General features: G+C 41.7%; 1 protein-coding gene across 1 annotated transcript in view, besides 1 other annotated feature; it reads right to left on the bottom strand.

Moving 5' to 3' along the window:
* CACNA2D3 (calcium voltage-gated channel auxiliary subunit alpha2delta 3) overlaps positions 1 to 23,355 on the bottom strand; it is a 952,006-nt gene that overhangs the window by 822,518 nt on the left and 106,133 nt on the right. The gene's annotated exons all lie outside the window — the stretch shown is intronic.
* Positions 22,726 to 23,259: an enhancer, noted in NCBI's record as "NANOG hESC enhancer chr3:54262808-54263341 (GRCh37/hg19 assembly coordinates)". NCBI's record gives its function as "activates a minimal SCP1, AML or CMV promoter by ChIP-STARR-seq in naive H9 embryonic stem cells {active_cell/tissue: H9 hESC(naive)}" and the evidence as "EXISTENCE:reporter gene assay evidence [ECO:0000049][PMID:30033119]".

The following is a 23,355-nucleotide window of genomic DNA, read 5'->3' as shown; positions in this document are numbered from 1 at the left end:
TGGGAGCTCAATTAAGGAGAATTTCTAAAAAAAAGATTACTGCATGAATAAAAAATTACATAAACACACAAATACTAGAACCAAGCAGATTTCAACAGGCAAGCTGGAACAGTAAAACACCAGGGCCTCGCTATAACCCAGCAGGTCTTCAAGTTTCACACTATTGTTCTGTCTTATAAGTGAAATCGTTTTATGACAGTATCATTTTGATATTTATCTAACTAGCCTCTGGGAACCAGGTCACTTATTACTAACGCTGCTCCATGTCAGTTCTTACTCATGTTCCAAGGTAACAACATTTATTTAGATTCAAGTGAGAAGATACAGATGTCAAGGGCCAGAACTAAACACTGTTTAGGAAGGCAATGAAGTTACACGATTTGTGAAATTACTGTAGGAGCTAGATGAGATGGAATTGGTATAGAGGAGAAGGCTCCTAGAGCCCTTTTGACCAAAATAGGTTGACATTTCAGATTCCCACTCATTCTCACTCACTACAATGCCACCGTCTGCAGATCCTCAAAAAACAGTGGCAGATGAGAGTAATAATGTTTCCAAAAGGAATCCTAGGTTTGTCATCTTCTTCAAAACAAAATAATCTATGGCTTCAAATTAAGACAGTTATACAGATATACTTGTTATCTGTTAACTTTAAAATACAAATACATAGACTTTAATAAAAGAGTTAGAGATGCCCTGCACCTATGATAGAGATTGACTCTGTTTCTCCCACCTCCAGCAACATGGCCTCAGTCTACTCTTGCAGAAGACTTCATCTCTTGCAGAAGACTCTTCACTGCTCTCCTGCTTTCCTCTCTCACCCCAATATCACCCCATCCCTCTTTTCAAAACACTGGAGCAAGATCAGTGTCATGCAGGCACCAAACCCAGCTGAACCTCCTCCTGACCTCCCTACTTATCTGACCCTGCCTAAGTCACTTACATAACCCCTGACCACTCTCCCCTAAGAGTCTATGGCTGAGATTATCTGTGCTCATAGTCTGTAGGCTAGTGCTGCCTCGGAGCTTTTGCACCCGCTGTTTCTCCTACTGAGAATGCTCTTTACTCAGATCTTTACTCCTTCCTGTCATTGGCCTTCAAATTAAATGCTACCTTCCCTGAACACTCAAACCAACTCACTACCCAGCTGCTGTCTGGCATATTGCCTCTTTCTCTGCCCAGCTCTTACCACTCACTGTCTGATATTTTCTTGTTCATTTGCTTCTTGTCCTTCCTCTCCTAGACTGTAAGCCCCCTAGGAGTTGCATGCTTATCACCTTTGTAAATAAAATGAATTTATTGTTCTTTTTAAAAAATATTTATTTTACGTAAGCCAAGCACTTTGGGCGATGACGGAGGGAAGACTGCTTGAGCCCAGAAGTTTGAGACCAGCCAGGGCAACAAGTCTAGACTCCATCTCTACAAAAAAAATTTAAAAATTAGCCAAGTATTGTGGCATGAGCCTTTAGTCCCAGCTACATGGGAGGGTGAGGTGAGAGGATCACTTGAGCCCAGGAGTTTGAGGCTACAGTGAGCTATAATCATATCACCGCACTCCAGTCTAGGTGACAAAGCAAGACCTTGCTCCTTAAAAAAAGTATTTATTTTAATTGTTAAGTAAAAAATTGTATATATTTATGGGGTATAATATGATGTTTTGATAAAGATATATATAATTAGAATGGCTAAATCAAGCCATTTAACAGACATTACCTCACATAATCATCACTTTTTTGTGGTGAAAACACTTAAAATCTACTCTCTCATCAACTGTCCGGTAGATAATACATTGCCAGATTTATAGTTCTGTGTTTGTCACTTATCAACCACATGTTCACCACTGACCACAAAATCAGGATTTTGCCTGGAAATCCCAGCATGTACATTAGAACAAAGTCAACCAGTCCTGAAATCAAGGAGGAGAGAAAACTGCGGCAATGACACTAAATGGGCTAGTTGATCACAGCTACTTTCCATCAAGTCTATCAGACTTCACACGAAAAGCACATAATGATTCAGAGAAAAACAGTGTTCTCTGGGGAACCCTACCAAATGAATTTGCCCATTACATTTTCAGAGGAGTCTTGGGTGCTCCACCACCCACTGAAAGCACAGGGGACACCATGATAGCAAAAGTTTCATCATGGCATAATTGTTTTCAAACAAAAAGGTAACTAAAGAGTTGTCTATAGTTATCTAGGGTCATAATGAACCACTTTGATATTATTAAAAGACAAAAAAAGAAATAGTCCCACTCACATAAAAAAAAAAAAAACATAATTTTGGTATAGAATGTTGAATATTGTGTATTACGGTTGAACCAGAACCAATAGGATGAGGGGTGTGTGTGTGTGTGTGTGTGTGTGTGTGTGTGTGTACGTAAACAGAGAGATTTGTTCTAAGGAACTGGTTGTCACGATTACTGAGACTGGCAAGTTCAAATGTAGCCTGGTGTGTGTGTGTGTGTGTGTGTGTGTGTGTACGTAAACAGAGACATTTATTCTAAGGAACTGGTTCTCACAATTACCGAGACTGGCAAGTTCAAATGTAGCCTGGCAGCCTGGAGACCCAGGAGAGCCACTGGTGCAGACAAAGTTCAAAGACAGTCTGCTGGAGAAGTCCTTCTCACTCTGGGATGCCAGATTTTTTATTCTACTCAGGCCTTTAATGGATTAGACAAGGCCCACCCACATTATAGAGGGCAATCTGTTTACTCATTGTTCACCAATTTAAATATTAATCTCATCCAAGAATGTCCTGTAATTTGGCATATAAAGTTAACCATCTCAAGTCCTTGTCAACTTGGCACCCGCACGCATCTCTGTAAACCATGCTTAATCTCCAAACGAAAACAACAACAAGGTCATACTTCTTCCTAGTATGATAAAAACTAACCTGTGTACAACCAAATCCAACACTAGAAAGGGATGCAAAGTCTCTCCATGCTGTTTATTCTTCTCCTTGATATCCCGTAACTTAAATACTATGATATAAAGTTAATACATCTTACATTACATGACAAGAGGATAACAGAGGGAGGAAACCAAAGATATTTGCCTTGCACACGTACATATTCATAACCAAATATGGAAATACTCATGATAATTACAGTGCTCATTTCTGTAACTGATCACACGGTCATAGTTATTAACAACTACCTTCTTCCACTACCCATTCTGTATTCCCTTTGCCTTCAGCAAGCACCTCAACTAGTCATAGTTCTTTATCTGCTGGAGTAACCCAAACCTTAAAATTTGTATTAATCAGTTAGGTCTGCCATAACAAAGTACCACAGACTGGGGGTCTTAAACAACATAAATATATTTTCCCACGGTTCTGGAGACTGAGAAGTCCAACATCAAGATGCCAGTAGGGTTGGTTTCTGATGGCCTCTCTCCTTGGCTTGCTGCCTTGTTGCTGTGTCCTCACATGGTCTTTTCTCTGTGCCTGTGGATTCCTGGTATTTCTTCCTCTTCTTATAAGGACATCGGTCCTACTGGATTAGGATTAGGGCCCCACCTTTTTTTTTCTTTTTCTTTTTCTTTTTTTTTTTTTTTTGAGATGGAGTTTCTCTCTTGTTGCCCGGGCTGGAGTGCAGTGGCACAATCTCAGCTCATTGCAACCTCCATCTCCCAGGTTCAAGGGATTCTCCTGCCTCAGCCTCCCGAGTTGCTGGGATTACAGGAGCATGCCACCATGCCCGGCTAATTTTTGTATTTTTAGTAGGGACGGGGTTTCACTATGTTGGCCAGGCTGGTCTTGAACTCCTGACCTCAGGAGATCCAACTGCCTCGGCCTCCCAAAGTGCTGGGATTACAGGCATGAGTGGTGTGAGCCACCAAGCCCAGCCAGGCTCCACCCTTTTAATCTCACTTTACCTTAATTACCTTCTAAAAGACCCTATCTCCACATATAGTCACATTGGGAATCAGAGCTTCGACCTACACCTTTTGGAGGTGGGAGGACACAACTGAGTCCATAACAGCTTACAGTAACATTCCCATTCTCATCCAGGGTAACAGTCACCGTTAAGGAAAACTATTGTTACATAAGGAAAGACTGTTACATTTCCTAGGTGTTTTCGAGAATATTTTATTTACCAAATATTAATATATTTGGTCAGTAGTTTGAGCATCCACTATGCACCAGGCATGGTACTAGGCATGGTACTAGGCATGGCAGATATGAGACAAGACTGGAGTATGTCTTGGGTGTTGGGCATTGTGGGTCACTATTCTCAGATGTGACATCCCAATATGGAATTTCAAATCCTTTTCATTCCAGGCAATTTCTCTTGAACTATAGATCAAGTACTAGTTGTGGTTTCCTGCTTTAGTTTTCTTTTTCAGGGGTGCCTAGTAGTCATATGTCAAGCTCTCCTCTGCCTATCTTCAATAGCGTGTCCCTTTCTCTTGAATTCTTTGTCTATTTTTTATATTTACAATGTTCCTATTTTTTATATTTACAATGTTCCTAATGTTTACCTTCTACTTAATTTAAGGCATTATCTGTTGTGTTTATTTGCTCTTGTGTTCCTTCTAGTTTAATCTTTATTTCTAAAATATTTTTTATTTCCAATGCTTTCCTCACTTCTGCCACCTCATTTCCAAGATTTTTCTGTTTTGATTTATATTGTTCTCTCATATCTTGTATCACTTTCTTAATGTTTTAGTTCATTTTGACAATAGTGGGATTTGGTTTTATTTATTTGTTTGTTTGTTTGTTTGAGATGGAGTCGTGCTCTGTTGCCCAGGCTGAAGTGCAATGGTATGATTTTGGCTCACTGCAACCTCCACCTACCTCCAGGGTTCAAGCAATTCTCCTGCCTCAGCCTCCCGAGTAACTGGGATTACAGGCATGCACCACCACGTCCAGCTAATTTTTGTATTTTTAGTAGACAGGGTTTCACCATGTTGGCCAGGCTGATCTTGAACTCCTGACCTCAGGTGATCCGCCCACCTGGGCCTCCCAAAGTGCTGGGACTACAGGCGTGAACCACCACGCCCCGGAGTAGGATATGGTTTTAATCTGTTCTGTGGGTATGTCTTTTTGTTGTGCTGATGTAGAGATGTTAGTCTGCTCATTCTTCCTCCCAACTTACTTTGTCTTTGTGTGGTGTTGTACACCTCCATCCTTTATACACCTTGTTGTTAAGTGAAATTAATTTTCCTAAACATTTAGGAACAAAGCTGGTTCATAGCAGCTTTTCTCACTTCAGAGCTCCCTCTTCTGTTGTTCTCATGCAGTGTTAAAAAAATTTATGATAGTTGCTTTCTGAGATGCTGAGATATTCTGGCTCTTTTTTTTGTTTTTTTGAGATGGAGTTTCTCTCCTGTTGCCCAGGCTGGAGTGCAATAGTGCAATCTCAGCTCACTGCAGCCTCCGTCTCCCAGGTTCAAGTGATTATCCTGCCTCAGCCTCCCAAGTAGCTGGGATTACAGACAGCCGCCTCCCAAGTAGCTGGGATTACAGACAGCCGCAACCACGCCCGGCTAATTTTTGTATTTTTAGTAGAGATGGAGTTTCGCCAAGTTGGCCAGGCTGGTCTTGACCTCCTGACCTCAGGTGATCCACCCACCTTGGCCTCCCAAAGTACTGGGATTACAGGCATGAGCCATCGCATCCGGCCCCCAGGTCCACTTTTATTACTAAATCTTAGAAGGAAAAATTGTTCGAGCATCTGGGCAAAAAGAACATGTGACTTACAAGGGAAAAAATATTATGATCAGACTTTACAAAACAATGTAAGCAAAAAGAAAATAGAGGAACCTATCTAAGATCCTCAAGGGAAGAAAATATAAGCCATGGATTTTTGAATTAATTTCAAGTATAAAGGACACAGGCAACATGTAAGAACTCAGGGAATATTTTTCCTTCGAGCCATTTCTGAGAAATACACTAGAGAGTAAGCTTCAAAACAACCAAAATCACTGAACAACAGAGGTTATGTCTGGTAGTGAACAGCAAATATATAGATGTTTGTAAAATTAAGACTAAATGAGGATTATAAGGGAGAGTATAGTATGTAATAGCTACATGCTCTCAAAATGTAGATATGCAGGCGCTCACGCCTGTAATCCCATCACCTAGGGAGGCCTAAGTGGGCAGATTGCTTGGAACTCCAGGGACTACCAGATGACAATGATGATAGAGAAGCAAACTCCAAATTAATCTTGACAATACACTCTTTTAAAAGTAATCATTCTTGCATTGCATTTTCATTTGAAGATGAAACAAGGGGTGGGGGCACTGGTGACAATTTTTAATACTTAGATGAGCCTATTTTCCATAATCAGTATTCATGCATGATGACACTGATGAGAGACTGGGGGAGATCGTGTGACCTTCCCAAAGGCAGGCCTTCTGAATAGATGCTCTGTTTCTCAAGCCCTGCATTATACCAGGCAACAACTGCACTATGTCAATGGCCCAAAGTTGACTGATGGAACCCATGCTTTAGCCCAAGGTGCTTTCAGTGCCAGTGCCAAGTCAGTGAAGTGGAAGGCAGTCCAGAACACCAGGCTCTGGATGGATGGTGGGAGAGCAGGCCTGGCCTTAGGTCAAAAGCCTCAACCCTTGAACATGAGCCACCATGAGAGCCAGGACTGTTTTCTCTGTTCAGCAAAAGCCACCTTTTGATGGGTCCAGGCAGGGGGTCCCCCAGGGAATAATCATTCTCATTCTCTCGCACTCTCTCTCAATCTCTCTCTCCCACACACACACACACACACCCATACACATGCACACTTACATACAATGTTAAAAAATAAAAATAAAAAGACATCTTGGAACTTAAAATTAAATTTAAATTTTTTAAAAAAAAAATAAAAAGACTGTGTTCTATTCCAATCCAGCTATTAATACTTGTAGGCTATGACCATGTACTTGTGGACCATGACCATATAATTTATTGTCCAAAGACATTGTTGAGATTGAAAGGGAATGACATTAATAATTATGACAACAGGTGTAAACTGGCACTGTCCTGGGTAAATCAGAATGAAAGAGTACCCTAGCTGTAACCCACCCAACACGTTTTAAGCTGCTCAAATGTCATCTAAATTTTTCTTGAGTTCTTGTTCTGGCTTCCGCATAAAAGGCAAAAGTATATAATTACTAGAACTTCAATGGATCCCAGAGGATATGAACAAGAGGATTTTAGGAGGTACATGGACAAGCATGACCTTTTAATTGTATTGTTAAATATTTATATGTGGTTTAAACCTATGTATAGACAGTACTGTAAACACAGGTTCCAAATATATTATTACTTACAATGAAGCTAAAGTCTTGCAAATTGCTGTTTGATTTAAATATTAAAATGTTTGGTAAACACCTCTACATGTGATCTCATCATACACACAAGACTGGATATTGGATGTGGACACTTACTTTTGAAAATTACTGGCATGTTCAATGCATGCTTCCTTTTTTTGTTTTTCTTCAGCCAATCAGTCAACAAACCCTGAGCCCTTACCTATGAGCCAGGCATTACCCCAGATCAAGAGGCCACAGTGGGAACCCTGGCTCCTGCCACAGGGAACTCCTCAGCCAGTGAGTCTGCAGCACAAATGATGTCATTTTTAAAGCTAATAAGGCATTTGACATTTTGATTTAATAACAACAAATATTACTGTGTTTCATAGATGACAGTTTGCACATATGCGGTCTCATTCAACTAATTGCTATTAGTTTAAAGTCTGGGGGAAATGTCCTTTTTCAAGATCACCTCCAACACCAGCTGCTTGCAGTTCCTCAGCTGCTCTTCCCAGGCCACAGATTCGGGGCGCTTCCTCACACCAGCCCAGACTAGTTTTGCTCATCTGCAGCCATGGGGCCACTTCTACCAAAAGAAAGTGGGAGGAGACTGTCAAGGCTGGGCGCTCACTCCACGGTCGCAGTGCTGTGGTACTTGGACACCAGGACTTCTCCAATTCCTCCCAACATCGCTCTATGTTGAGAAGGACTGGGGGGCATTACTAGGCTCTGAGGGAGAAGGTGCTATCATCAGGTGGTCAGGTCTGTTTCCAGCACAGGACGGGGGGAGCAGGACTCCTGTATCTGCCAGGAAAATCCCCCTATATCTGTATCCCCTACAGACTAGCATTGTGCAATTCAGAAAGGGTCTGCAGATGCATTCTAATTTCCATCTCCATATTCATCCAGTGAGGAAAGCAGGCTGGTGTCATTACCCACTCAGAGCTAAGGAGGATAAGGCTCAGAGGGATCCGTGGCTTGTCTGAAGTCACACTGCTAGCAATCGGCAGAGCTGGGTCAGAGCACGGGTGCTTTTTGCCCAGTTGTTTGAAGTCTGGAGCCTGGAGCCAGATAATTGGCCAGCCTCCTCCAGGACGCTGTATGTATAGCAGGGAGGGGACATTTTGTTTTGTTTCGTTTTCGTTTGTTTGTTTGATTTTCCTCTTTTGATTCTTAACAACTAATCTTTTTTAGTAAGAACTATCAAATGCTTCAGTGGCCTCAGGAATGAGTGTAACAAAGGAAATACTATCATTTGTGCTGCAAAGTTAAAGACACATGAACAATAGCCGAACCCCACATGGTTTCCAAGCTGTGGAGATGGGTCACCAACTGGGCTTTGAGATCAGGAAAGTCATGAATAGCTAAGGACCAAAAACAGAACAAAACAAAGAGTGCTGAAAATAATTTGGAAACATGTGAATTTACAGAAGACTACACACTAAATATAATCAAGGGCACCCATTCCATTTTTGGCCGATTCTTCTGGCATCAGCTGCCGTTTCGCAAACATTTGACAGCCCACGCAATCGCGGGTCTCCCACACCACCCCTTGTCTTTCTGGGTAGTTTCCAGCCTTGGGTTTCCAGGACTCCACAAGAACACAGGATGAAGGGAAATGCACAGGGGAGCTGGAGAGTGGGGACAGGGGGTACAATCTTGGAGGAGATCTGGAATCAAGGGACACATGGTTTATGATCTGAAATTGCAATTGAGGCTAACTGTTGAGGCTGGCTGTGCAATTCACCCGGACCCAAATCTCCTCCTGTATCTCTGCTATTGAGAAGAGTAATTTCTACAGAGCTTTTCCATATTTTCACAAATAGTTAAAGGTGCTTTACTGTCAGTCATCTTCAAAATTCCCTGCTTGCCTGAGCAGCAATAGCAAAACAAAAGCAACCACCTCCACCATCTAACTGACCATGTTCCAAGACTTGCTAATGTTTTCTTAGTAGTCCCCCTTATCCACGGTTTTGCTTTCTGTGGTTTCAACCTGCAGTCAACCTCAATCCAAAAATATTACACGGGAAATTCCAAAAATAAACAATTCATACATTTTAAATTGTGCGCTATTCTGAGCTGCATGAGGAAATACCACCCAGGACCTGAATCGTCTCTTTGTCGGGCGTAGTCACACCATATATGCTACCCACCCATTTGTCACTCAGTAGCTGCCTGGGCGAGCAGATTGACTGTTGAGGCGTCGCAGGGCTTGTGTTCAAGTAACCCTTATTTTATTTCATAATGACCCCAAAGTACAAGAGTGGTGGTGCTGACATATTGTTATAATTGTTCTATTTTATTCTATTTATTTTATTTCATTTCATTTCATTTTTATTTGAGACTGAGTCTCACTCTGTCCCCCAGGCTGGAGTGCAGTGGCACGATCTCAGCTCGCCGCAACCTCTGCCTCCCAGATTCAAGTGATTATCCTGCCTCAGCCTCCCGAGTAGCTGGGATTACAGACGTCCACCACCATGCCTGGCTTTTTGTTTGTTTGTTTGTTTTTGTTTTTTGTATTTTTAGTAGAGCTGGGATTTCACCATGTTGGCCAGGCTGGTCTGGAACTCCTGACCTCAGTTGATCTACCCGTCTCAGCCTCCCAAAGTGCTAGGATTACACGTGTGAGCCACTGTGCCCAGCATGTTCTATTTTATTATTAGTTATTTTTAATCTTTTATTGTGCCTAATTTATAAATTCAACTTTATCATGAGTATGTATGTATGTATAGGAAAACACATAAGTGTATACAGGTTTTGGTACTATCCAGTTTTCAGGAATCCACTGGGGGCCCTGGAATGTATTCCCTTTGGATAAAGAGGAACTACTATACAAACTCTCACTGAATCCTCATGGCAGCCCTAAGTCACAGGTATTCTTATCATCATCATATTTTAGATGGAAAAACTGAGGCTTAGGAAGTTCAAGTAACTTACCCAAGGTTACATAAAAGCAACTGTGTTGGAACTATGTACCAGTTACCACCACCAACACACTCAGCACTGGAAGCTGGGTGACTGCTGACTGTGGCCCTAGAGGCCAAGCTCTTAATCCCTATCCTACACTGGCAACCTATGCCACAGGAGCTTCCCTGATATTGCCAGTCTGGCATCCATCCCTACACTTCCCACATCCATGTGACCACAGCCACGTGAGCCAGCATGCAGGCCATATACCAGCCAAGTCTCTTGCGTGCAATTTGAATTGGGCATACCCAAATTGGTCTCCAGAAAACCCAGTTTGCACCGATTCTGCTCCGAGGCTGTGTCTTCATCTCAAAGTTACCAGACAGTCCCTTTGCTGATTAATAGGCTTTCTTAGACTGTGGACTCTGGAGCCAGATGGCCTGGGTTTGAATCCCAGCTCCACCTAGCTCACTGTGCTGGCTTTTCTCTTCTATAATAGAGGTACTCGTGATACTAATAGAACCTACTGCTCTGTAGGCTATAAGGATTATATACAGCTCTGCTCAGGAAGTGCTTACAACAGTGCCCAACACGCAGGGAGCCCCCAGTCATGATCATTAAACAACAGCCCTGTGCAGGCCAGCACTGAGATTTTTCTAGATAAGTGTTCATATTTCTCTTAGAAACTGAATGTTTGGCAGCAAATAAAAGCAAAGATATAGACTGACCCCAAGAGGGCCGGCTCTTGGCTATTGGGCCAATTTGCCACTGGATTCAAGTTCTATTTTGAGGGCACCCAAAAGAAAGCAAAAGTAGACAAAAGTATAAAGACTCTAGCCAGGTGCAGTGGCTCATGCCTGTAATCCCAGCATTTTGAGAGGCTGAGGTGAGTGGATCACTTGAGGTCAGGAGTTCAAGACCAGCCTGGCCAACATGGTGAAACCCGTCTCTACTCAAAATACAAAAATTAGCCAGGCATAGCAGCAGGTGCCTGTAATCCCAGCTACTCGGAAGGCTGAGACAGGAGAATCACTTGAACCTGGGAGGCAGAAGACGCAGTGAGCCGAGATCGCACCATTGCACCATTGCACTCCAGACTGGGAGACAGAGTGGGACCCTGTCTCAAAACAACAAAACAAAACAAAACAAAACTCCAAACTTTATTTTTAGATAGTTTTTTACATCTCCTTACAAAACCAGCAGATGAGAAGAATTAAGAGCCTGAAATCAATTTGGGGAATCACATCATGAACCATAAAACAGATAAGTCAAATTCTTCCTCCTCCTCCTTCCTCTCATCCTCACTTACTAGGAGAAAATGCATGCGCTGTTGGATGCTGATCCACATCCCTTTTACTTCGCCTAATTAGCATTCCGAGTAGGTGCCTCTCACAAAGAAAATCATCCTGCAACTTCTGTCTTTCTGATTATGCTGAAGCAGCAGAGGGTTTTCAGTAACCGCCTTTGAGAAGCATTATTATATCTAGTAATTACTGTTCTCTTGGGAAGGTTGGAAGGAAACAGACTTGCTTATCATCCCTGATCTTTCAACCCAAATGCTGGGATTTTGACCTCCAAAAACCAACGAATGGGATCTGCCAGCCCCTTTGGTGGCTCCTATCTGGGATGTTTTCACTTCAACAACAACAACAACAACAAAAATACACCTAATATGACCATCACCAATGAATTCTTTTCTCCTGTCTTGATGGGTTGACTATTCCAAACTCCCTCTTACGTAGAGAGCCCCTTTAATACTTTGGACCACCCCAGACGCTGTTGTCATAAATGCCAAAATAATATTCCACATTAGAAATTAAGTTATTTAACTGTATTCTTCTGTTCCCTATGCAAACTTTATTCCTGGCCTGAAATAAGATTCCACAGGTGTCGTTTGCAGTGATTATTACAGCAGCTGATACTTAGCAAGACTTTACCAAGTGTCTAGCCTAGTGTAAAGTGATTTTATTTTAAAAGTACTATCTGATTTTATTCTCATAGAAACTAGGTTGATAGTTATTGTAGTCATATTTTAACTATAACTATTTTAATGATGAGTAAAGAGAGGATTAGAAACTAAGAAAAATAACTTGCCCAAAATTCCACATAAGATTGACTTGTGTGAAGCCATGATATTTACCCACTACACTGTTATTATCTCCTATGCTAGTATAATATTTTTGAGCCAAACTCAGATTGTCTGCTTTTTAGGAAGTGAAGTGATGATTCTGAACCATGGCACCCAGTAGAACTACATTTGTTCTTCCTGAACCCCCTTAGCACACAATGATCTCCCTTCTTCTGATCCAACACTTTTGGCTTGGACACCTCATGTGGCAACAGGGGTCACAACAGATATTAACAGAGCTTTTCAAATGCAGCTACTGAAAATCTTGAGCTGCGTCAGTGTTCCTTGATTCTAGAACTGACATTAAACTTTGTCCATGAATATATATCTTGTCTCTCCATCTGAATTATAAAATCTCTAAAGGCTAAAAAGGTTAGGCTCATTGCTCTACACCCCTTCCTTTGGGATAGTGGTTAACCTTATGAATATTTACTGATTTATTTCCACATTTAACCAGTACAATAACTGCATTCTTGCTTACAGAGTTGAAAGCAAAGCAACTCAAAAATTCAATGCCTAATTTTTCCTGTTCTTCAAGAGCCTTTGAAAGGCCTTGGCAATACTTCAAGCCAAGTCCTACCCCAGAGCTGGGACTTAGTTGACTCAATAATTACTGTACAATACTGCCTTTTGTCCTATATTCTAGCCACAGGGTCAGACACCCACTTATTTTTACATATGAAATAATAATATTTTGACAATCATTAGGAAGAATGACTGATACATTTATGGACATCGCTTCCACAGTATGGTTACATTTTACAACAATAAACACATCTGTTGGTGTATATGTTGCTAATAAAATATTCAAAATGATCTGAAGACCTCAAACGAGTTTATTAGTGCTATGGTTTATGGTTTTGGTCAAAAGCAGTTTGGAGGCAGGAGCAAATTAATTTCCTTGACCCACAGGAGGAAAGAGAGTTGATGTGAATCACTGTACCATGTCTCAGTTGGCCCCATCATGGGCAGATTAAACTGCATTAGAGAGATAACTGCCTTCTGTTTAGGGGTCTTCATAGCAGCTCTTGCAAAGCCTCTTTTTTACATTATTTAGACTTAAATTGGAAATGACCTTTTGTGTCATTTTTCCTTTTCTCAGGAAAAACAGGGTATATTTTCTTAATTGTATCCACTTCTCTGCCAGGTACTGTCATGTATAAAAACTGACAACCTAAAAACTAGATAACTTGAGATTTACTGCTTTCTCCCCAATCATAAGAAGCTCTGTGATGACAGAAGGAAAATACCTTAGCAAGTGCATTAATCTCTCAAGTTTTTCTATTAAAATAAGCCCACATAGTGGGACTGCCATAAAAAGCAATTATAGGAGCCAAATTGGATGTTTTTTTGCACAATCACTGAGGTGATTTGCTCTACCTCTGGGTTCAGCCACAATTTGCTTCTGCCTCCTTAATATGCACAGGTGATTGACAACTCACTAATAACTCAATGCCAACATAAAAGATTACGTGACTAAAATAAAACCCAAGGTTCCACAGAGGCTCAGCCACGCTATTAAAAAAGTTACAAACATACATTGAGGCAGTGAGGAAGAATGATATGGAGAAAAAATTTAATAACATGTAAATTATGCTACAGACAATGTGGGGACATAGAAAGGCAAGTCTGATGAATGCAAAGAAATTGGAAAAAAGTATGCAGCAGTGTTTTTCAAGTAGGCACCTCAGAACACTAATCCCTCTGCATCAAGGGCTGCTGCAAGAAGACAGGTTTCATGTGACTGGGAGATGAGCCACACCACACCACTCCCAGGGACTCAAAGCACGTCAGCACAACCAAGTCTCTGAAAAGTCCTGCAGTAAAGAAACCTGCTTAACTTGGTTTCGCATTTCCTAAACTTATTCACCCATGGAACCATTTTTTCCCCTAAACTTCTCTACCCATGGAACTTGTGGAACTCACATAACTTTGAAGAAATCCTGCAACAGAAAAGAGAAAAGATGAAAAATGCAGCCAAGGGGAAACTGAGCCAGAGTCAGCATGCTTAGGTGCAGCCCATGCTGACAACAGAAGCACTTGGATTTTCAATCTGGGTAAATGAAATTGATGTAATAATTCCTGAGAGGCAGAAAAAAGGCAATTAAAAACTTGAGCACATTAAATGAAGTCTTGGTGGGTGAGCTAACATTCCTCTTCATAAAAGCCAAGCTCCAGGGATCCAGTTGCTTGGGTGAAGATTAATCTTTACCGTGTAAATCTATAAAAATGCTTTGGACCTGTATTTCATTTGTACAAGTCAGATAAATCCAAACTTCATGGATACTTAGCTTAGCAGGAAATACACAATACTAATTTTTCTTAGATAAAGAGCAACGGGGCCATCCCTAGGTAGATCTAGGTGGGTCTGGGAAGTAAACAAGTTTTACCCTCTCCTCTGAACTGCTTTCTCCCTCTCCAAGCCTCTGCTCTACCTGTTTCAAGGCTCCCCTGCACGGCAAACTTTATAAGCCCCTTCACACTGGATGTCCTATTCCTTCTAGGGACATGAGCAGCTTGAAAGAGACATGGTCATATTTAACACAAATTATTTAGCACAATTAATTCTTCGAGGGGGTACTGGAAGAGGTGTTAATAACAGACACTTTGTAGGGGAAGAATGTCCTCCTACCCTTGAAATCAAACCAAGGTAGCCACTGGCATCATCTACTGCCATTAAGCAGAGTCATTAGACTTCCCTTAATGGAATGTGTTTTGCATGTTAAAAAAAAAAAAAAAGAAGTTTCAGGCAACAACAACAGCTGCCCTTTAGGGAACAGCTAATGAGTACCAACTACTGTGCTGAGTGCGCTACAGATATTATCACCCTCATTTTAACCTTGAAACTGCCAATGGCATGATATACTACGATATTCATGTTATCAATGAGGAAACTGAAGTTCAGTTTACACTTGTACAAGTGTAAACTACTTGTACAAGAATCTCTTGGCAGTTATGGCGCAGGGCTGGAATGAACCCAGGGCAGCATGGCTTGACCACTATGTCATGTGGCCTGTTTAGTTTGGCCCCCTTGGAACAATGGTATTTCAAACGAGCTTTGCATTATTTGGAGAGTCACCCGATGACCCCGGCAAGAATTTTCTACATCTTTGACAACTTCTATGCACAGAGTTTTTATATGTTGAGCTAAGATTTTCTAACCCACCCCTCAATCTTCATCCACAGAACACATATTGGCATGTTGACTTGACATCCTGCTGTTCAGTCAAAAGTGACAATAATTCCAGAGTTTACTTCAGTATGTATTTTTCAATAAACTTCTTTATCTCAGAATAGTTTTAGATTTACAGAATAATTGCTAAGGCCATACAGGGAGTTTCCATATGTCGCACGCCCAGTTTCCTCTGTGGTTATCCACTTACATTTATTGGTGTATTTGTCACAACCAATGAATCAATATTAATACATTACTATTAATTGAAGTTCATGCTTTATTCAGATAGCCTTCATTTTTACCTAATGTCATTTTTCTGCTCCAGGATCACATCTAGGATATCACATTACACTTAATTGTCATGTTTGCTTAGCCTCCTGTTGTCCGTGACAGTTTCTACGAGACTTGCTTGTTTTGAGCAGTACTGTGTTGAGAAGTACTGGTCAGGTATTTTGTAGAGTATTCCTCAAATGGGAATCGTCTGATGGTTTTCTCATGAGGAGACTGAGGTTACAGGTTTTGGGGAGGAAGACCACAGAGGTAAAGTGTCACTCTCATCACATCTTATCAAGGGTACATGCTATTAATGTGACTTCTCACTATAAATGTTAACTCTGATCACCTGGCTGAGGTGGTGGCTGTCACGTTTCTCCACTGTCAAGTCACTCTTTTCCCCCTTCCTTTCCATGCTGTACTCTTTGAAAGAAAGTCACTATGCACAGCCAACACTTGAGAAGTGGGAGTTACACACCTCCCGGAAGCCGGAGCAGCTACTTAAATTATTTGCAATTCCTTGTCTGCTGCCCCCCTATTTATACATATTGTGAGTATTTATTTTATAATTTGGGTTACAATCTAATACCACTTTATTTTGTTGCTTGAATTGTTCCAGCTTTGGCCACTGGGAGCTGATATGGTTTGTAGCTGTGTCCCCACCAAATCTCATGTCGAATTATAACCCCCAGTGTTGGAGGCAGGGCCTGAGGGGAGGGGACTGGATCACGGGGGTGGATTTCTCATGAATGGTTTAGTACCATCCCCTTGGTGCTGTTCTTGTGACAATGAGTGAGTGCTCACGAGGTCTGGTTGTTTAAAAGTGCGTGGCACCTCCCCCATCTCTCTCTTTTGCTCCTACTCTCACCACGTGAAGTGCTGGCTCCCCCTTTGCCTTCTGCTGTGATTGTAAGTTTCCCGAGGCCTCCCCAGAAGCCGAGCAGATGCAGCTTCATGCTTCCTGCACAGCCTGTGGAACCGTGAGCCAATAAAACCTCTTTTCTTTATAAATTATCCAGTGTCAGGTATCTTTTTATAGCAATGTGAGAATGGACTAATACAGGATCCTTCTCAGTTGACCCCTCTGTCCCTCTAGCACACACTAATCATTGTGTTTGCTTGGTTTGCTGAGCACATCTTTACTTTAGGACACTATGAATGCCCCAGACTCATAAATTCCCTGCCCTCATCCTAGAATCAGCCATTTCTCCAAGTAGTCTTGGTTCCTTTTATAGGGAAATGGTATTAGAAACCAAGATCTGGAAGACGGGAATTTTTTTTAACTTTTATTTTAGGTTTAGGGGTACATGTGAAGGTTTGTTACACAGGTAAACATGTGTCTTGGGGGTTTGTTGTACATATTATTTCATCACCCAGGTATGAAGCCCAGTACCCAATAGTTATCTTTGCTGCTCCTCTTCCTCCTCTCACCCTCCCCACTCAAGTAGGTTCCAGTGTCTGTTGTTCCCTTCTTTGTGTTATTAAGTTCTCATCATTTAGCTCCCACTTATAAGTGAGAACATGTGGTATCTGGTTTTCTGTTCCTGTGTTAGTTTGCTAAGACTAATAACCTCCTGCTCCACTCATGTTCCTGCAAAGGACATGATCTCATTCTTTTATATGGCTGCATAGTATTCCATGGTGTATATACACCACATTTTCTTTATCCAATCTATCATTGATGGGCATGTAGGTTAATTCCATGTCTTTGCTACTGTGAATAGTGCTGTAATGAACATTTGCATGCATGTGCCTTTATGGTAGAATAATTTATATTCCTCTGGATATATACTCAGTAAATGGGATTGCTGGGTCAAATGGCAGTTCTGTTTTTAGCTCTTTGAGGAATTGCCATACTGCTTTCCACAATAGTTGAACTAATTTACACTCCCATCGACAGTGTATAAGTGCTTCCTTTTCTCCAAAACCTCACCAGCATCTGCTTTTTGGTTTTGTTTGTTTTTTGGTTTTTGGCTTTTTTAATAATAGCTATTCTGACTGGTGTAAGATGGTATCTCAATGTAGTTTTGATTTGCATTTCTCTAATGATCTGAGCTATTTTTCATGTTTGTTGGCTGCATGTATGTCTTCTTTTGAGAAGTGTCTGTTCACGCCACTTTTTAATGGAGTTTTTTTTATTGTAAATTTAAGATCCTTATAGATGCTGGATATTAGACTTTTGTCAGATGCAAAGCTTGTAAATATTTTCTCCTATTCTGCAGGTTGTCTGTTTTCTCTTTTGATAGTTTATTTTGCTGTGCAGACATTCTTAAGTTTAATTAGATCCTACTTCTCAATTTTTGCTTTTGCTGTCTTTGTCATGAAATCTTTGCCCGTTCCTATGTCCAGGATGAATGCCCAGGTTGTCTTCCAGGATATATTTTTTTAATGTTCATGAAAACTTATTTGGTGTTATTGTTGACCAATAGTCAGTATCCTCTGTCTTCTAGATAAAATCAATTCCTAATGCAGCCCTACAAGACAATTGAAAATAAACTGTATGATGACCAAATAGTTTCAAACCCTCCACGCTTAAGGATCCCCAACTTCTCTTCGACCTGTGAAGGGATTCAGATTTCTTGCTTGCAAGCAACTCCTCCTTGGATTAGAATGCCAAGAAGTTCAGATTGCTCATTTCCCTAATGCTACAAGAATTCTGTCCCAAAGAATGAATGTTCCTATACTCCTTCAGAAAGTGAAGCACAAAGAGTCACTGTGCCACTTCACCAGTGCTATGTCATTGGATGTGTTTCCAATGGTGTGGAAGGCCACAGAAGCCAAAAAGGTAGGGCAGCCTTTAAAAATATATGCTCGGACGCATCCACTTATGGTGCCTGGAGGCTCTATGCCTTCGGATGAATTGTCCCTGTGGCATTCATTGGTGCTCTGTGCCCTCTGTGTGGTGCTCACCCTTGCCTAACTGGTAACCCTTTCTATGCAGCCCACAGTCTGTGGGTGATTGTTCTGTGGCTCCCAGTTAATGGATCTGTCTATCATTCATTCATTCCACATCATGCCAGCCTGACCCAGGCCCTGGTGATACGAGAGTAAATGCTAACAGACTAAGCCCCTGTTAGCACAGAATTGATATTCTGGGGATGGGAGGGAGTGGAACATAAAAGCATCAGATGGTATTAAGTGCTAAGAAGAAAAGTGGAGTGAATGAAAAAAGGACACCCAGTCTCTACTCAAATGCCTCCCTCTCAGAGGGGCCTTCCTGAACACACCCAACCACTCTTCCTCTCCTTAGCCCGCCATATTTGTCTTTCTGGTACTGTCAGAGCATTCACCTTATTGCGTATAACTATTTGTCTGGCTGGTGTCTCCGCAGTAGACTGACAACTCCTTGGGAGTAGAGATGGGTTAAACTAATCATGACAGTACAGCATTTTGCAGACAGCCAGCACCCAGTGGAGATCAATCAAACTCCAAGGCAATTGATGGGCGTGACACTTTGCAAACAATAAGGGCACAGTTTACAATATGGCTTTCTACTCTAATCGCATAATTTAAAGTCTGTAACTTTGTTATAGCCTCCTGTGCCACCATAAATCAAAATGTTCATGTGATCTACAGCTGCAGTTCAAGAAATGGGCTATCCAATATTAGGGAAAGACTTACAAAGAGCCACACAGGGAAAAACCTAAACTGGTAAGAAAGGAGCAGACCCTGGAAGCATGGTGGAGTTGGGGAATGTGTTCAAAGCAGGGGTGGGGCTCAGGACGCTCTTTCAACCAAAACAAGGAAACAAAAACCCTCATGCAAGTCACCGCTTGTAACGTTTCCTTTTGAGTTTAAAAACTCAGTTCATAGTTGTGTTATTAAAATTAATATTATGCACATGAGGTTCTTAGCCCAGGGCCCAGTATAGTAATCCTACAATAAGTGGTATTGACATGAGAGCAGTGACAACTGACACTCACACTCTTACAAATACTACCACCCAACCCACTCTGAACCCTTGTGAGCACAACCCATTTAATGCTCACAATAACCCTATAAACTAGGTACTGTCATCACCTCCCTGTAGCTGAAAACCCCCAAGCTTCAAAGGATTCAGTAACCATTCTGAGAGCATAAAGCCAGCAACAGTGACTGATCCAGGATTGGAATGCTCGATCTGTTTGACTCTGCAGCTGAACTCCTCATGTTAGACAGACACACACACAGCACACCTGTGTATCATATATATAAAGTATATGCACATATACACATGTGTTTACACAGCTGGGGCCGCCCCCAAGGCCACAGAGGAGGTCATTCCTGTGAAACATGCCTATGCTTAAATAACGAGACAATGGACTCCAGAGTCGGGGGCTGAGCCAAGCCATACCATGTGGGAACAAGCAACGGCAGCTGCGCCAAGGGCCAGTGCAATAGCCTTGGCCCTGCTGCCTGGGTTCTTGTGAACTCCCCTCCCACCCTGCCCCAGGACCACCCCCCTTCCATTCACCATGCACCTGCTGGACAGTGAGCAGCTGTCTGCCTCTACGGAATGGAATATGACGAACATGAAACCAATAACCTTGGCCTTGACAAGACCATGTATTATTTATTATAATACTTGTGAAAAACATTCATTCATTCAACAAATTTTTATAAAATTACCTAATAGTAGTTTATTACACACTAGAAATATATGGGTGAACAAACTGGACAAAAATCCCTTTCAGATGCAAGGTGGCATTCTAGCAGCACCTCAAAGCATCCTTACAACATGATTAAACACAGTTATGTACGTGTGTGAGCCTAATGCTCATGAGGCTGGCCCAGGACAGGGCCTGTTTCTTTGGCAGATGCTCAGAGAGTACCTGATGAATTTACTGACATATTAACTAACACATTGCTTTAGGTTTTTCAAGGAACTCTGACAATCATCACTTCAAAGAGCGCCTCACACTTACCCTGAAAGGGAGAAATAAGTAACACTGCCCCATCTTGCAGGTATGGTGGATCTGTGCTTCCATGAAATTAGCTGGCAGAGTGAGGACCAGAAGGCAGGCTTTGTAACTCCTGCTTAAGAACTTCTACCCAGCCAAGGTGCTCCCCTGGATTTCACCAAACAGAAACACTCAGACATGCGGCAGTAATAACATTTGAGCCACCCACTTCCTAGAGACCCTATCCCCAGCCACAAAGCACTCCCCTCATCCTCTCCCTGGGGAGGCACCCTAAAGACATCACAGCAAACTGCTGACCACCACACCCCGGCTCACATGTTAGCAGAGGGGATATTTTTTGTAAACCACAGCCTGTGGCCAACACACTCAGGCAGAACCCAGAAATGGAGTCCATCCAAGTCACCATGTGTCCCCATCATCATCTATCATGTTTACCAGGGCTGGATATCTTTTGGCGATAGACCCCATTTACACGATTAAAAAGAAGCTTGGAAATTTTTGATCATTTAATTAATCTTTATGTATTTTGTCCTATTAAGCAGCAAAGAAAATGTTTACAGCTCAATTTAACAAATTAGCATTTGTAATTCCTCCATTTGTAAAGAGATTTATCTACATCTACCTATATAAAATATTGTTGAAATAAAAACGTCATATCTAGATTCCTTGGCAAAATAGAAGGAATTTTATAAGACTGTGGAGGTAACATGTGGCCTGAATAATCTCTCACACAAATTATTGCATTTCTTGAGCTGTAAGTATAACATGCTTAATGAAGCTCAACATTTGCAACCTGTCTCCCACAGAGTCCAACAGAGTTTGCCTTTAGAATCCCCTGTGTCTAACTCTGGCTCAGAAACTATTTACATGCTGAGATGAGCCTTTTATTCATAGATCACAGTTATTCTCTTCGAAATTATCTACAGAAATTATTATGCCTTTTCAGAAATTAATGACCCTCACAATTTACCAATTCAAACATGTATTACCTTACATAATTCTTATGAGGTTGCAAAACATCTTCTTGGATATGGGTAAGGTAAGTTGGGAAGGAGAATTACACAAACTTCAAATCTTCATCTTTAGGAAGCTTAAATAAGAAGCTAGGAAATACTCTGCTGGCAAGACAAAGAAAAAAATGAAATCTGGCATAATTTCCCTGTAATAAAACTATGCTGCCTTTTAAATTCATGTCTGCTTTTAGAACCAGAAACTAGGAACACTAATGACTTTAAAATACTTAAAACACAGAATGGAAAAAAAAAAAAACAATTAAATGACTTAATAGCACTGTGTGTAAGCCTATTTTTTTCTTTTTGTTTTACTTTTTTCCTTTTTTGCTTAAACTTAAAATTACCTTTGGCAACGCTTCCTACTTGCATAACATTTTTCCATGGCTGATCCTTCTCCTGCCCTGTGTTATTCAGAAGCATCGTATGTTGCAGTGGCAAAAAACACAGATGACAAGAAGTTACAACAAGATGAGAAGGGAAGGAAGCCCTCTGTAACCTGCAGGTGTCCAAATATTACAATTTCCCTTTCTACTGAAATGAGTGGTCTGAACAAGATATAACAAAATGGGTCCCAGAACAGTAAATTTGGTGCATGACATAAAAAGCCTGCCAAGACGACAGATACTCTAGCGGGAAACTGGCATTTTTATAACTGGGGAATTGTCACGCAAGCAAAACAGAGTAAGAGAAGAAAAAAAGGGGGACCGAATAGCAAATTCCATGAAGGTTTCTTAACTTATCAGAAACTTTAGGCCGGGCATGGTGATTCATGCCTATAATCCCAGCGCTTTCGGAGGCCGAGGTGAGAGGATCACCTGAGGCCAGGAGTTTGAGGCCAGCCTAGGCAACATGGCAAGACCCTGTCTCTACTAAAAATAAAAAATAAAAAATTTGGCCGGGCACGGTGGCTCACGCCTGTAATCCCAGCACTTTGGGAGGCCAAGGCAGGCAGATCACGAGGTCAGGAGATTGAGACCATCCTGGCTAACATGGTGAAACCCCGTCTCTACTAAACAAAATACAAAAATCAGCCGGGCATGGTGGCAGGCACCTGTAGTCCCAGCTACTCGGGAGGCTGAGGCAGGAGAATGGCATGAATCCGGGCGGCAGAGCTTGCAGTGAGCCAAGATAGCGCCACTGCATTCCAGCCTGGGCGACAGAGCGAGACTCCGTCTCAAAAAAAAAAAAAAATTAATTAGCTGAAATACTTTCAAATTCATAGAAACCAGGAGCCCTTGAGGCCTTACAAAGATCAAGGAAAATAGAATCACCATTGTAGAACAAAGCACCCAAACAAGAAAGAAAGGAAATCAAGCCTTCCAGCAGTGTTGTTGGTTTAGGAAACGTATGCATTCATTCCTGAATCTTCCATACAGCACAAAGGAAGCTCTGACTCCACGGGAGATACCCAGCGCCCTGGAGGTATCTGAGACACACAAATGTGCTGATGCAACTGGCCTCTGGAAAGATCTCAGGGTCTTCCATGAAAACAAATGTGAGCTGCTCATGCAGAGAAGAGCGGCAGGGCACTGTGTCGCTCTGGCATGTCTGAAGCCCAAATTGAAAACCCAGACTCCATGCTTGACAATATAGGCAGTAATATTCCTCTGTGAAACAGTGATTCTGTCATCTCCCAATTCAGACTGAGGCTATTATCCAGTTTCCACAGTGTACACCTTGGTGGAGATCAGGAGAGGCCTG

Source organism: Homo sapiens, chromosome 3 (assembly GCF_000001405.40).
Source record: "Homo sapiens chromosome 3, GRCh38.p14 Primary Assembly".
Taxonomy (NCBI): Eukaryota; Metazoa; Chordata; class Mammalia; order Primates; family Hominidae; genus Homo; species Homo sapiens.
This window is presented reverse-complemented; position numbering and strand designations above follow the sequence as displayed.